This window comes from Homo sapiens, chromosome 6 (genome assembly GCF_000001405.40).
Source record: "Homo sapiens chromosome 6, GRCh38.p14 Primary Assembly".
In the NCBI taxonomy this organism is placed as follows: domain Eukaryota; kingdom Metazoa; phylum Chordata; class Mammalia; order Primates; family Hominidae; genus Homo; species Homo sapiens.
Genome location: NC_000006.12, coordinates 35,847,565 through 35,863,548, shown reverse-complemented (window position 1 = coordinate 35,863,548; position 15,984 = coordinate 35,847,565). Strand labels below are relative to the sequence as shown.

At 40.0% G+C, this 15,984-nt stretch overlaps 1 protein-coding gene and 1 long non-coding RNA gene across 3 annotated transcripts in view; both read left to right on the top strand.

The window, feature by feature from the left end:
* The window catches only part of SRPK1 (SRSF protein kinase 1), an 88,133-nt gene that overhangs the window by 57,550 nt on the left and 14,599 nt on the right, over nucleotides 1-15,984 (top strand). For both annotated transcript variants that reach the window (NR_034069.2, NM_003137.5), the window contains exon 13: nucleotides 6,181-6,288. Coding sequence is in view for 1 of the 2 variants with exons in the window: in NM_003137.5 (NP_003128.3) it covers nucleotides 6,181-6,288 (108 nt within the window). In the remaining variant the exon portion in view is untranslated. The remainder of the gene's footprint in view (nucleotides 1-6,180; nucleotides 6,289-15,984) is intronic.
* On the top strand, nucleotides 6,370-15,745 carry LOC124901311 (uncharacterized). Its single transcript, XR_007059563.1, has 2 exons — nucleotides 6,370-7,156; nucleotides 9,118-15,745. It is a non-coding gene; the product is annotated as an uncharacterized LOC124901311 (long non-coding RNA).

Below are 15,984 nucleotides of genomic sequence, written 5' to 3'. Positions count from 1 at the left end.
TTTATCTACTATTTTCTTAAAGAGGTTTTCTAAACTGAAAAAAAAATTATTTATTCATTCATTTAATTAATTAATTAATTTTTTTTTTTTTTTTAAGAAACAGGGTCTCTGTTGCCCAGGTAGAAATGAGGTGGTGTCATCATGGCTTGTTGCAACCTTTAACTCCTGGGCTCAAGCAGTCCTCCTGCCCCAGCCTCCTGAGTAACTGAGACTACAGGCACGCACCACCAGGCTCAGCTAATTTTTTTTATTTCCTTATATTTATCTGACTAGAATATTTCAGAGGACCTGTCTTCAAGTTCTCAGATTCTTCTACTTGTTCCAGTCTATTATTGAGGCTTTCAAATGTATTTTGTATTTCCTAGAATAAATTTTTTATTTAATTTATTAATTTATTTGAAACATTGTCTCACTCTGTCACCCAGGCTGGAATGCAGTGGTATGATCACAACTCACTGCAGCTTCAATCTCCTGGGCTCAAGCGATCCTCCTGGCTCAGCCTCCTGAGTAGCTGGGACCCCAGGTGCATGCCAACACACCCAGCTAATTTTTTTTAGTAGAGACAAGGTCTCACTATGTTGCCCAGGCTTGTCTTAAACTCCTGGGCTCAAGCACCTTAGCCTCCAAAAGTGCTAGGATTACAGATGTGAGCAACTGTGCCCTGCTTCAGTGAATTTTTTAGTTCTAGAATTTCTGGGGTTTGTTGTTGTTGTTGTTGTTGTTTTAAGATATCTGTCACCTTGGTAAATTTCTCATTCATCTCTTGAATGGATTTTCTGATTTCCTAGTATTGATTGTCAGATTTCTCTTGCATCTTATTGAGCTTCTTTAAAATCAGTATTTTGATTTATTTGGCATTTCAAGGAATTCTTTTTTATTGGGATCTGTTGCTGGACAATTGTTGTGGTCCTTTGGTGCTGTCATATTTACTTGTTTATTTATGTTTTCTGTGTCCTTCCGTTGATATCTGCACATTTGTTGCAGTAGTCACTTGTTCCAATTTTTTTGAAATTGCTTTTGTAGGGGAGAATATTTTTCTGAAGTTGTATATATGTTGTTGGTTAAGTAAGATACTTTTTGATTTTGATTTTGGGTACCTCTGGTAGTATGGTTTTTGTATAACTTTTTTGGCAGTACACAGGGTCAGGGGTATCTGCAATTTCCTCTGTGGCTTAGGGTACAGTTTAGGTTGTGGTGAGGTTTTGCTGGGGACTTGGATGCCAGCTGAGCCAGTCTTTGGACCCTGATGGTGGCATTAGTGGGCTGAGTGTTCCTGTTTTTAGGCCCCAGAGCGTTGATTCCAGTGTTAGTGGGTCCTGGAGGTGTGATTCTTGGGTCTCTGACTGGGTATATGGGCAGGTTCTCAGGCCCCTGGGCAGCTGGTATAATGTGGGGGATGGCAGTTAGAGTGGTGGAGCAACCCGCTGGGACCCAAGCAAGCAGTCTGTGTTGTTGTTGTTGTTGTTGTTGTTGTTAGCTGTGATGGGTCGGAGGGGGCTAGTCCCTAGTTTTACAGCCACCGATAGCAGGGCAGTGGGTATTTTCCTAAGTGTGCTTAGAGAAGCTTGGTCTCTGCTGTTCCTCTCCCAGCTGGGTGGCAGTTGCAGCCGTGTCGCCCAAGGGCAAGCGCATAGCCCAGCTTTAAACTCTCAAAATGGTGCCAGCTGTTGGCCTGTGACTGAGAGGGTAGGTTCCCTCTCAAATGAACAGCATGGGCAAGAAACTGTGGGGAGTTACAGTACACTCAAGTCTCAGTCTCAAAAAAGCCTGTTGTCTTAGGTATGCATAGGAGAGCCTGGTTTTCCTGTCCCTCCTCAGCCAAGTGGCAGCTGCAGCCACGTCAGCCCGAAAGGGCAAGGCGCAACCTAGCATTAACCTCTCAAAATAGCACTTTATGCCTGGGACCAGAGCGGGGAGGGTCCCTCTTAGGCCAGCAGCATGGGGAAGAAGCTGTGGGGAATGTGGTCCACTCACATCTTGGTCTCACCGGCAGCCCATGGCAGGGTGATAGGGACCCTCCCAGGAGTGCATGAGAGTGCCTAGCCTCCCCTCTTCCTCCTCAGAGCAGTGGAGTGACAGCAGCTGCATCTTCAGATCCCTGGTATCAAGGCTGTCAAAATGGCACCCAGCTGAAGCCGCTTAGACTCAGATGCCTGTGGGATTCTCTGTGGGTTCCCTGTTTGGAGCAACATCTGTCCAATCTTTAGGCAGTTCTGCATGTCAGGCCCGAGGCCCTAGTTGGTTCAGGGTTTCTCCCATAACCAAGATCATAAAACCCATTTTCAGAATGTGGGATGCTGGGGATTTCTCTCTTACTGTATGCCCATGCCAGCTTCCTCAGACCCTTTCCTTCTGGTGCTTCCTATCACTTCTCTGGTGAATCTTAGCATTCCTTCCTGGACAATCTGTTCAAAATGTGGGTATCTTCTGACTGTTCTGGTTCCTTTCTGTGGATGAGGCACATACTACCTGTGTCTAGTCAGCCATTTTAAATGTAAGTCAAGTCATATATTCGCTAAACGTTGCAGTGGCTCCCTTCAGAATGAATACCAAAGTCCTTACCATGGCCCACACACCACCAAGCAAAGAGAGCTTACTCTTCCTTCTGCTTGGAATCCTCTTCACGTACAACTCCTTCAATTTCTTTAAGTTCTTACCCAGATGTCACTTATCAGGGAGCTCTTCCCCTGAACACCTAATGTAATTAGCAAACCGCCACTCTCCAAACACTTATACCTTTATCATATTCACTCAGGTATTTGCTCACTCTTCCTTTCTCCCTGTAACTTTTTTTTTCTCCACAACACTTAACACAATCTAATATTATATGTTTATTTGCTTAATAAGCCTCTCACTAGAATGTACATCATATCACAACAAAGTTTTTCTGGTTTACCACTGTATCTATATTTAGTACTTAGAACAGTGCCTGGTACAGAGTAGGTACTCAATAAATATTTTAGCAAGTAAATTGTGGAGAAACGTATTGACTCTGTAACAAGTATCACACCGTACAAACATCAAATGCTTGCCAATTTCCTGCCCACACCATGTTTCAGGCTCTGGTGCCTTTATGTTTGGAACACCTTCATGTGTGTTTTCTTACCTATGTGGCACACTTTATTCCGGTGGAGTCTTCTGTTACTTACATCACAACAGAATTAATCTCTCTTCAACTTTTATAACAAGCCTACTCTGTTAATTCATTCACACCCTGTGATAACCCATTAATCCATTCATGAAGGCAGACCCCCTCATGACCCAGTCACCTCTTAAAGGCTAAAAGGTCTCACCTCTTAGTACTGTTAACATTGGACATTAAGTTTCAATATTAGTTTCAAAGGGGACAAACATTCAAACCATAGCAGTGTCTCTGCATTTAAAATGACTGCGTTCTTGGCTCGCCCCTGTAATCCCAGCACTTTGGGAGGCCGAGGCAGGCGGATCACGAGGTCAGGAGATCAAGACCATCCTAGCTAACACAGTGAAACCCCGTCTCTACTAAAAATACAAAAAAAAAATATTAGCCAGGCGTTGTGGCAGGCACCTGTAGTCCCAGCTACTTGGGAGGCAGAGGCAGGAGAATGACGTGAACCCAGGAGGCAGAGCTTGCAGTGAGCCAAGATCGCACCACTGCACTCCAGCCTGGGTGACAGAGCGAGACTCCATCTCAAAAAAAAAAAAAAAGACTACGTTCTTTTCAGCCATTCACTCATTCAGCAAACATGCTGGCACATACTCTGATGTAGGCATTAGGACACAGCGGTGAACAATACATGTGTGTTGCACCCCATTGAATTCAGATTGGATCTCACTTCTTGATCTCTTCAGCACATCAGCATCTGGCATTCAGTAATGGAATTTTACATAATTTTTAACGAGCTGTATTATTAAACATACAGTCAACTTTTGAACAACATAGGTTTGAACTACACAAGTCCACTTATGCACAGATTTTTTTAACCAAACAAGGATCGAAAACAATATTCAAGGGATGTGAAATGCACATATATGAAGGGCTGGCTTTTTGTATATTTGAGTTCTGGGCCAACTGTGAAACTTGAGTATGCACAGATTTTATACTCGGGGGATTCTGAAACTAATCCCTGAAGTACACTGATGGACCACTGTACTAAGCTTTTTATTCTTTTTTCTTTTTTTGCTTATCAATCATGCGTGTACACAGTGGGGGAGACAGTTATATAAGCTTTTATTTAAAAATCTGCCTACTTCTTTCACCAGTTTTTCACTCCCCTTAACAGTATTTACCTTTATATCACTAATAAATAACAGGTTATATTAATCCAATTTTGTTTTCAGTGTTACATATTATTTTTTTCCTCCCGGAAAATGGGGCTTATCTAGCACCACAGCACGAATTCCTCATTTCCCCAATGTAATCTAATTTTTGGCTACATGATCATACCATGTTTATATCATTGAGACTCTAAGGCTATCCTCAGCTGAACTGAGCATATATTATGGTTCCTTTTCCTTTCTACATAACATGTTTCACTTGCTTAGTTTTCTTTGTACTGTTGATCACTTAATTCAATCCCATACTTTTACCCAGTGTTGTAAATACACTTTAATATGTACAGATACATTGAGTGTTCTTTCTACTATTATCTTTCTAAAGCGCTGTGTCCTAGAACCTGGAGTCTTCTAATCTGTATTGATCTGATTGGGTTGCCCTATAGGTCTGCTACATTACGTCATTTGGGATTTCCCTTCACCATCATCCTGGAGATTTATTGTTTTCTCTATATATATGTCCCCTGTTTTCCGTGTCTCCTATCTTTCTTGGTTTATGTCATCTTTTTTGTAGAGTACATGCAACAAGCAATAGTTTCCTGAGAAAGGGTATGAGATTGGGTGGGGGAAGGGTGGGATTTGCACATCTGATAGTCTTTATTCTGCTTTCACTCTCAGTTGGCTTTGTAGAGAATTCTAGGTTAGAAAACATTTTCTTTCAGAATGTCGTTGCTCCATTGTTTTATAGTTTCCAGTTTTGATGGTACTAAAGACCGATGCCATTCTGATTCTTGATCTTTATATGAAACTTTTCCCCCAGTGGAAGTCTGTAAGATAATTTCATAGTGATATGCCTCACTCAGCCTGTTTTCACCTCTTATACTAAAAATTTGATGTGCACTTTCAACATTGAAACTCTGATTCTTTGGTTTTGCATCTTAATTTTTTTTTTTTAGGTGACAAAGTGTCACAGTTAAAAAGAATGATCTTTCAGAAAGCCATATTTATGAATGAAAAGAAAATGTCTAGTATGTACTTCAAAATCTGGTGTAGGTGTGGTGGCAGGGTTGGGATACAGTTGAAAATAGACTGGCAATGAGTGGTAATTGCTAGGTGACACTAGTATAATAAATGGCATGGGGTTCATGATTCTTTCTACTTTTGTATATATTTGAAATTTTCCATGATAAAAAATAAATGAATAATGAAGGACAAAAAGAAGCTTAGTATGAGTCATATACAGGAAACAAAATTCAAATATTCAAATGTGATAGGAAAGTGTGGAAGACAATTCTCTAATCCTATTGAAATTTAAAAACAGGGAACAGTATTTGTGAAAAGAGGAAATTACTCAGAGAAAACTTCAGGTAGAAAACTAGTATACACCAGGGCTTCAAAGGGTACTAGATGAAATTTGACCAAAAGAGCAAAAAATACTCTAGGTAGAACATCAACATCCCAATAAAGGCACAGAAAGATACTTATTAAAGACAAGTATAGTAAATTGCAAGGTTAAAGAGTTTGGATTCCTTGGTGTGGTAGCTCACGCCTGTAATCCCAGCACTTTGGGAGGCCAAGGTGGGTGGATCACTTGAGCCCAGGAGTTTGAGTCCAGCATGGGTAACATAGCGAGACCCCATCTTTACTAAAACAATTTTTAAAAAGAAAAAAGCTGTTGTTGTTTCCTAGACCTGTGTATATTAAGTTTAGGCTCATTTGTTTGTAAAAATAATTTGGAGTAGCTGTGTGTAAGGCAAAGGATTGTTGGAGCTAATAACATAAAAATGCTGTTTAAGAAATAAGCAAAGTGAGAACTTTGGTTTGGGAAAAACTTCAGAGAGTTTATTTTCATCTCCATTATTAAGCAGTATTGACTTGTTACTTTTTAGAATGAAGTTTAAAATATTGTTTCCTTCATTTTCTCAGCACAAACATTTCACTGAAGATATTCAAACAAGGCAATATCGTTCCTTGGAAGTTCTAATCGGATCTGGCTATAATACCCCTGCTGACATTTGGAGCACGGCATGCATGGTAATGTTTTTTCCCCTTGGCTTTCACTTGTTAAGTGGTACATATCTTGCCCTGTTTGCTAATTTCAGTAAACCAGCAAATTAACTAGCAGAAAAGAACGTAACACAGATGATTTACCATAGGTATTCTAAATTCTATGTCTAGAGAGGTCCGAATTCAAAAACCTGTCTGGCATTTCATTTGGTTACTGCTAAGTTCCTGTTAGGTGAAGGAACCAAAAGTTTCTTACTACAGATTGTTAGTGGGGGGAAATAATGAAAACAACTACTAAGAGGTGTTGTTGGTTTTGATTAGGAGATTACAAGTATCTTTGCATTTTTAGCACTCATCTATTTTCAGACCAAAGAAACCCCTGGAAACTGCTTCATTTTGTACAATTCAGCAGCTCCTCAGATACCTTTGCAGCTCCCAAGATGTGAATCCCAATCATTCATAGATTCATAAATGGCTATTTTGCCTCTGGCAAGCAACTGTTCCAGTGGTCAGATTTAGTTGATGATAAATGATTTCCTACTAATATCCTCATGTTGGAATGTGTTACATTGTTTCTTAAAATGTATTATACTCCTTAATATCTTTAATCACCACAATTTCTAATCGTGTTTGTTTACTTGTTTCTCTTCTATGTTGTAAGCCCCATATTGTCAGGAATCATGGCTGTTATGTATAACTGTCTGGATTCATTGCCTGACACATTTTGGGTGATTGCTTACAATGTAATTCTGATGCTAACTACCCAGAGTTATCACAGACTTCATAGGTTAAGAGCATGGTTCCTCACAAGATTGCCCTCACTTCAGACACTAACCACAAGCCTCAGGATCCACAAGCCACCTGCACTTCTAATCAACTGGCTACAAATTAAGAGGTTTGCATTACCCCCTCAGAAAGTGCTAAGCTTGCTATAGTTTTATTATAAAGAATACAAATCAGGACACATAGGGGAAAGTCTGAGAGCGTACTAAATGTGAAGCTTCTGTGTCCTCAGGACTTTCACCCTCCTGGCACATTGATGTGTGTCACCACCGAGGGATGCTCACCCAAGCTTCAAGTATTCAGAGTTTTATTGAGATGTAATTAATTAGGTATTGATTGAATCATTGGCCATGTGATTGAGCTCAGTCTTCAAGCTTTCCCTCCCTTCCCTGGAGGTTGGGAAGTTGGAAAGCCCCAGTCTTCTGATCATGTGGTTGGTCTTTCCCGTATGTCCAACTTTCATCTAAAACTATATAGGGGCTGGCCACGGTGGCTCGTGCCTGTAATCCCAGCACTTTGGGAGGCCAAGGCAAGTGGATCACTTGAGGTCAGGAGTTCAAGACCAGCCTGACCAACATGATGAAACCCTGTCTCTACTAAAAATTAGCCAGACGTGGTGGTGCATGCCTATAATCCCAGCTACTTGGGAGGCTGAGGCAGGAGAATCGCTTGAACCTGGGAAGCAGAGGTTGCAGTGAGCCAAGATCGCACCATTGCACTCCAGCCTAGGCAACAAGAATGAAACATCGAAAAAACCAACTATATAGGGCCCCAACATGAGTCACTTTGTTAATATAAACTTAGATATGGTCCAAGGGACCCACCATGGATAAAGACACCTAGCACTTGGAAATTCCAAGGGTTTAGAGACTTCCTACCAGGAAAAAGGGACATAGATCAATTTCTTCATTATTCAACAGGGTTTAATAAATATTTGTATACTACCTAATGAATAAACAGAAACATATTATGCTCTCATTTCAAGTAACATTTAATATTCACAGGCAACTCTGGGAAAAACTTGAGAAAGAGGGCAGATAACAATTCCAACCTGTTTTAAGTCATAGATTTCTTGCTGTCTGCATTCCTGAAAAACTTTGTCTTCAAAGCTAATAGAGATGATATCATGTTGTTAATGTGGCATGACCTTATAGAGCACTTTGTTGTGGCATATTATTGGGTTTTTGTTTGTTTTTTTTTTCTGAGATGGAGTCTTGCTCTGTCACCCAAGCTGGAGTACAGTGGCGCAATCTTGGCTCACTGCAAGCTCCGCCTCCCAGGTTCACGCCATTCTCCTGCCTCAGCTTCCCAAGTATCTGGGACTACAGGTGGCCGCCACCATGCCTGGCTAATTTTTTTGTATTTTTAGTAGAGACGGGGTTTCACCATGTTAGCCAGGATGGTCTTGATCTCCTGACCTTGTGATCCGCCCACTTCTGCCTCCCAAAGTGCTGGGATTACAGGTGTGAGCCACCGCGCTGGGCCCATATCATTGGTCTGTAAAGCTGGTGAACTGTCTGAAGTAAGGTTTTAATATTGTTGCACAAAATGAGAGAATATTGGAATAAAATCTCAGGCTTCTTTCTTGCCACACTTTAAAGCTTTGCTTATTGAGGAATTTTATTTGAGTTGATTTGCTATAGAAAATCATAAATGATAGAGATGCCACCAACTATAAAGTGTAGCTGGTTAATAGATGGCATCTGATTTATTAAAATGTGGATTTGCTAAGATGTAGTTTTTAGTAGTGGATTAGTTGTTTACTGTAAGAAAATGACATTTTTTTTTTATTCCACATTTCTGTTTTGTTTGGGGGGCAGTAGATCCTGCTTGATATTTAATAAAGTATTTCTAATGTCAGGCTTAAGAAGTAAGGCTGAAAGATAAAGGCGTAATTAATCTCACCTCATAGTTCTGGACCCACTCACATGTCAGAATTTTCTTGACCAAGGAATGGAAGTACTTACCTGACATGAGACAATATCATGAAAAATTGAGCCCCATTTGATCCTCAAGTTTTTATTTTGCCAGTCGACATAGAAAAACAAAATGTTGCTTTAAATTTGATCATAGAGCAAAAATTCTGGAATATCGGAAGTGCCTGAAGAGATGGATCATCCTGCATCCAATGTAATTAATTGATGGAAAGATTAGGACCCTCTCTGAGAGGTAATGAGATGGAACAAGTTGAGATTGCCTCTACATTGATGATTGAGGAATAGTTAGAAGGGCAGTTATAAAAAGGGAAAAGGGGGCCCAGGTGTAGTGGCTTATACTTGTAATTCCAGCACTTTGGGAGGCTGAGGCAGGCAGATTACTTGAGGCCAGGAGTTCGAGACTAGCCTAGCCAACATGGAGAAACCCTGTCTCTACTAAAAATACAAAAATTAGCTGGCCATGGTGGCACATGCCTGTAACCTCAGCTACTCAGGAGGCTGAGACACAAGAATTGTTTGAACCTGGGAGGCAGAGGCTGCAGTGAGCTGAGATCACACCACTGCACCCCAGCCTGGGCAACAGAGCAAGACTCCATTTCAAAAAAACAAAAAAAAGGGGGAAAGGGGAAAATATTTGTGAAGAACACAACAGTGAGACTCTGTCTCAAAAAAAAAAAAAACAATCTCCGAATGCTGGAGTCAGGACAGGTAGGACCATAACTGGCAGGATGAGATTATCTTCTTCTCTGGCCTTTGAATGCCCTTCCTCCCACTGTGGGAAAGTATGTTTGTAGTCCCCAGTTGTCTTCCTTTTCTGGTAAATTCCTCTTCTGAAGTGATTGCTTTCTGGGATATGTTCCTTTTCTTCACCTTTTGCTCTCTGAAATTCAGGGCAGGATTTGTAGGACTCCCACTGGCACTTGTGAGAGGTTCTAGGAGTATAGCTACACATATTTAGGACATGGGGTGAAGTGCATGTCTTCATAAACCCCAGAAGTTGGCCAATTACTAATCAAGGGAAAGATTAGGGAAAAAACTAGAGAATATTCAGTCATCCCTTAATGTCCTCAGGGGATTGGTTCTAAGACCCCCTGCAGATACCAAAATCCACAGGTGCTCAAGTACTTTACATAAAATGGCATAGTGTTTGCATATAACATATATAACCATATGGCCTCTGTGTACTTAAATTGTTTCTAGATTACTTATAATACCTAATATAAATGCTATGTAAAGTTGTTATACCATATTTTTTTAACTTCTTTTTTTTGTTGTTGTTGTTTCATTTTGTTTTTTAGGGATGGGGTCTTGCTCTGTTGCCCAGGCTGGAGTGCAGTGGTGTGATCATAACTCAATATAACCCCAAACTCCTGGGTTCAAGGGATCCTCCCACCTCAGTGCCCTGCCCCTTCCCCCCGCCAACGAGTATATGGGCACATGCCTAGGACTATAGGCATGTGCCACCCACTCGGCTCATTTTTAAATTTTTTTGTAGAGACCAGGTCTTGCTATGTTGCACAGACTGGTCTCAAACTCCTAGCTTCAAACGATCATCCTACCTCAGCCTCCCAAAGCACTGGAATTACAGGCATGAGTCACTGTGCCTGTCCTTTACTTGTATTTTTATTGTGCTGTTGTTGTTGCTGTTTCTGAATATTTTCAATCTACAGTCAGTTGAATCTGAGCATGTGGAACCTGCAGACACCCAGGGCTGACTAACTTAATTCTTGGTCAGGTGTTTCAGTAAGGGAGTGAATCTTTCAGAAATGGGATCCAAAGGGGTTTATCCATAACTGTCTTGTCTGTCTAGAACTCTTAAGGCTACTAAAATCCTTAAACTATCAAAATCCAAAGTGTAGTAATTTGACCCAAGAGCTCTTTCTCCATCATCACCAATTCCCAATCTGAGCTGCCCGAATGAAACGGCAGAAATGTCTGCAGGTGGTTATAACTTCTAGCACTATGCACAATAGCTCTTTAGATTTCACCAAAGATTGTCACCTTTATTCAACAGCAGTAAGTCACTGGAGGCTGGATTTTGAATGCCATTTTAGTAAGTAATATTTTGAGTTCTTTTTGTACAATTTCCTTATCCTATACAATGAAAGCTATAGGTTTGCTTTTGTTTACTTGTTTTTGCTGCCAGTGTTCCGCTAAACAGAGGTAATACAAACACCAAAAAAACAGAGTATAATCTCATCTCTTTCACAGTTCTGTAATAAAATCACTAGGACCTGTGTCTTTACAGTAGATCCCTGCAGTTGGTATGTGCAGAATCCCAGGCATTGCTCTCAGTGAAGGTAAAGGAGAGCTGGGTATTTGCTGTATTCAAGAGATGGGAGTGATTAAATGCACAGCTCCCCAAGTCAGACATTCTAAACAGGGAAAGAAGCAGGAGGAATTGAGAGAGGCAAGCATTTGTTCCCCAGGAATGATGGAGTTATAGTTAATTAACTGTAGGACCTTCATTGTAACCCCATTGAATAGCACACAATTGAGAGGAAGGCTTTCAGCTTTCACCAGCCAGGGTGCCCTAGATCGCTGGGGCAAGATAGTCTCATTCATAGCTTGTACATGTCAGTTCATATAACTGTATGTTGGCATATTTATTTTAGGCATGCTTTGATTACCGAAGAAAAACTAAAGCTTTAAGTCTATAGCAGTGCCTTGCCCTTATTGTTTACTTTTTGCTTATACCAATTAATGAGAACTTAAATAGATAGGCCCTTCCTCTTAATTGAAAAAGGACTCAGCCCTTGGCCCTCCTCTCTTCCTGGGGGATTTCATCAAGTCCCATGATGTCTCTAGCCTCAGTTCATCTCTATACTTAATCCAACTTTTTATGTCCAACTGTCTGCTTGACGACTCCATTTGGATATCTGATAAATATCTCAAATGTAACATTTTCAAAATAGAATGCTTGTTTCACCCTACACATCCTGTTTTTGTAAATTATCCCCCTGTTCACCCAGCCATTCAGACTAAAAGCTTAGAACCTGAACCTTTTAGGTTAATTCTTAATTCTTTTTCCTTTGTCTACACCTAGTCCATCAGCTGTTTCTATGTGTTCTACCTTCAGAATATATCCAATACCGGCTGGGCACAATAGCTCATGCCTGTAATCTCAGCACTTTGGGAGGCTGAGGTGGGTGGATCACCTGATATCTGGAGTTCAAGACCAGGCTGGCCAACCTGGTGAAACCCTGTCTCTACCAAAAATACAAAAGTTAGCTGGGGTGGTGGCGTGCAACTGAAATCCCAGCTACTCAGGAGGCTGAGGCACGAGAATCGCTAGAACCCAGGAGGCAGAGATTGCAGTGAGCCAAGACTGCACCACAGCCTGGGTGACAGAGTGAGACCCTGTCTCAAAAAAAAAAGAAAAAAAAAATCCAATACCAACCACTTTTTACTTTTTCCATTAACTCATTATAGCCCATGCCATCATCATTTCGCAAATGGATCAATACAGTGACCTCCTAATTTCCTTTCTCTGCTTCTGTTTTTCTCCCTTCATGTTACATTATCACATAGTGGCCTGAGTGGTCTTAAGTGTTAATCAAATCATATTACTTCCCCGTTTTAAATCCTTTAATTGCATCTATTCCACTCAAAATCCTATTTTCTTTCCCTAGTCTTGTGAAGCTCATACTTACCTTGGACCTTTGGATGTGCTTTCTCCTTCACCTAATGCAGGTCTTTGTTCAACATAATCTCTTTAGAGATGTCTTCCTGACTACTTTATTTGAAATAACCCCCACTTTATCACTTTTCTTTGTCACATAGAACTTGTCACTCCCTGAGATACATGGGGTTTTTTTTGTTGTTGTTTGCTTTCTATATGAGGCAGAGAAATTGTCTATGATTCTTAAATAGGAAAGGGATATGTGCAGTAGACATATGCATTTTGGAAAAGTTCTTCGGCAATTCTTACGTACATCTTTGATATAGAACCATTTATTTGCTTTGATTAATATAATTTACAGCTGTGTTAAGACTGGAAAAACTCTACTTTTAAAGCTGGAAGTGAGTGGTAGAATGTATTTAGTAACAACAAAAAAGCTAATAACTGAACTCTGGAGTTTCCCAACCTTCCTTTTTGATCTGTGGCTATTGTAACCCTCTTTTGGCCTTTCTGGTGCTGAAACATTGCTTCCTTGCTGTTAAGACATCTTTCGTTTGCTTCATTCCCCTGCTGTTGGTTGTTTGCAGAGCACTAAACACCAGGACTGGTTACTTAATTATGTTACTTCTCCATATCTAAGACGAGCAGTAAGTAGACTTCTAAACAAAATTTGAACAAAACTTGGCATATCTGGTTTGAAATGAGTTTCAAAGCCACCTTCAACTTAGTATCTTCATGATTTGAGCAATTAAATATGATTAGTAACAGAAATGAGGTACGAATGTACTCGTCAGATGTTTCTAGAAACATCGTTATAGTTAAAACTAAATTTCCTTTTTCCCTTTTTTTTCTTTTTTAACTCTTTAATCATCTCCCGATTATCTTCACCCCCCAGTCTCTGTAACCACCATTCTGCTCTCTGCTTCTATGAGTTAAATTGTTTTAGATTTCACATATAAGTGAGAGTGTTGCAGTATTTGTCTTTCTGTCCCTGGCTTATTTCACTTCATATTGTTTTCCAGTTCCATCCATGTCACTGCAAATGACTGAATTTCCATCTTGTTTTTAAGGCTGAATAGTATTCCATTCCATTGTGTATACAAGTTGAATATCCCTAATCTGAAACACTTGGTACCAGTTTCAGTTTGGGGAATTTTTTAGATTTTGCAATATTTGCAGAATACATACTGGCTGAACATTTCAAATCCAAAAATCTAAACTTTGAAATGCTCCAAATGAGCATTTCCTTTGCGTGTCATGTCAGTTTTGGATTTTGGAGCAACCTGTATATACCACATTTTATTGTCTGTTTATCTGATCTGTATAGACTCAACTTAGATTGATTTTAAAATCAACTTAGGTTGATTCCATAACTTGGCTATTGTGAATAGTGCTGCAGTGAACATGGGAATGCAGACATCACTTAGACAAACTGATTTTAAATCTTTGAGGTAAATATCCAGAAGTGGGATTGCTGGATCATATGGTAACTCTATTTTTAGATTTTTAAAGAACCTCCATATAGTTTTACATGAGGGTTGTACTAATTTACATTCCCACCAACAGCATTCAAGACTTCCCTTTGCTCCACATCCTCACCAACACTAAATATTTCGTCTTTGTGATAACAGCCATTCTGACAGATATGAAATGATATCTCATTTTGGTTTTAATTTGCATTTCCCTAATGATTAGTGATGTTGAGCTTTTTTTTTAATAGATCTGTTGGCCATTTGTGTGTCTTCTTTTCAGAAATGTTTATTTAGGTCCTTTGCCTGTTTTTTAATTGGGTTTGTTTGTTTGTTTTCTTGCTATTGAGTTGAGTTCCATATTATTTTGGATATTAACCCCTATCAAATGTATAGCATGCAAATATTTTTTCCCAACCCATAGGTTATCTCTTCACACTATTGTTTCCTTTGCTGTACAGAAGTTTTTTAGTTTGATGTTATCCCATTTGTCTGTATTCACTTTTGCTCCCTGGGCTTTTGGGGTCAAATCCAAAAAAATCATTGCTCAGACCAATGTCATGTGGGTTTCCCCCTGTTTCTTCTGGTAGTTTTTCAGTTTCAGGTCTTATTAAGTCTTTCATCCATTTCGATTTTTGTATTCGGAGTGAGATGAGGGTGGTCCAGTTTCATTCTTTTTATATCCAGTTTTTCCAACACCATTTATTGAAGAGACTATCCTTTTCCCATTCTGTATTCTTGGCAATTTTGTCAAAGATCACTTGACCATACATGCGTGGGTTCATTTCTGGGCTCTCTATATTGTTCCTTTGGTCTATGCGTCTGCTTTTTTTGCCAGGACCATGCTGTTTTAATTACTGTAGCTTTGTAGTATAGTTTGAAATCAGGTGGTTTGATGCCTCCAGCTTTGTTCTTGTTTTGAGACAGAGTCTCATACTGTCACTCAGGCTGGAGTGCAGTGGCGCAATCACAGCTCTCTTCAGCCTCCGCTTCCTGGGCTGAAGTGATCCTCCCATCTCAGCCTCCCAAATAGCTGGGACTACAGGTGTGCCCCACCACATCCAACTATTTTTGTATTTTTTGTAGAGGTGGGGTCTCCCTGTGTTGCCCAGGCTGGTCTCAAAACTCCTGAGCTCCAGTGATCTGCCCACTTCAGCCTCCCAAAGTGCTGGGATTACAGGCGTGAGCCACCATGCCCAGCCCAGCTTTCTTCTTTGTGCTCATGATTGCCTTGGCTATTTGGGATGTTTTGTGATTCCATGTGAATTTTAGGATGTTTTTTCTATTTCTATGAAAAATAATATTGGAATTGTGATAGGAATTGCATTGAATCTGATAGATCACTTTGAGTAGTACGGACATTTTAACAATAGTAAGGCCGGGCACAGTGGCTCATACCTGTAGTCCCAGCATTTTGGGAGGCCAAGGCAGATGGATTGTGTGAGACCAGCCTGGGCAACATGGCAAAATCCCATCTCTACAAATAATTTAAAAATTAGCCAAGTGTGGTGGTGCATGCTACTTGGGAGGCTGAGGTGGGAGAATCACCTGAGGCTGGGAGGCAGAGGTTACAGTAAGCCGAGATTACACCACTACAGTCCAGCCTGGATCACAGAGCAAGACCCTCTCTCAAAAAAAAAAATAAAATAAAAATAAATCTTCCAAACCATGAACATAAGATATATTTTCATTTATTTGTGTCTTCAATTTCTTTTATCAGCATTTTATAGTTTTCAGTGTACAGGTCTTTTACCTCCATGGTTAAATATGTTTCTAAGTATTTTTTTTTTGTAGCTATTGTAAATGGGATTGTTCTCTTGGTTTATTTTTCAGATAGTTGTTAGTTTACAGAAATGCTGCTGATTTTTGTGTGTTGATTTTGTATCCTGCAACTTTACTGTATTTGTTTATT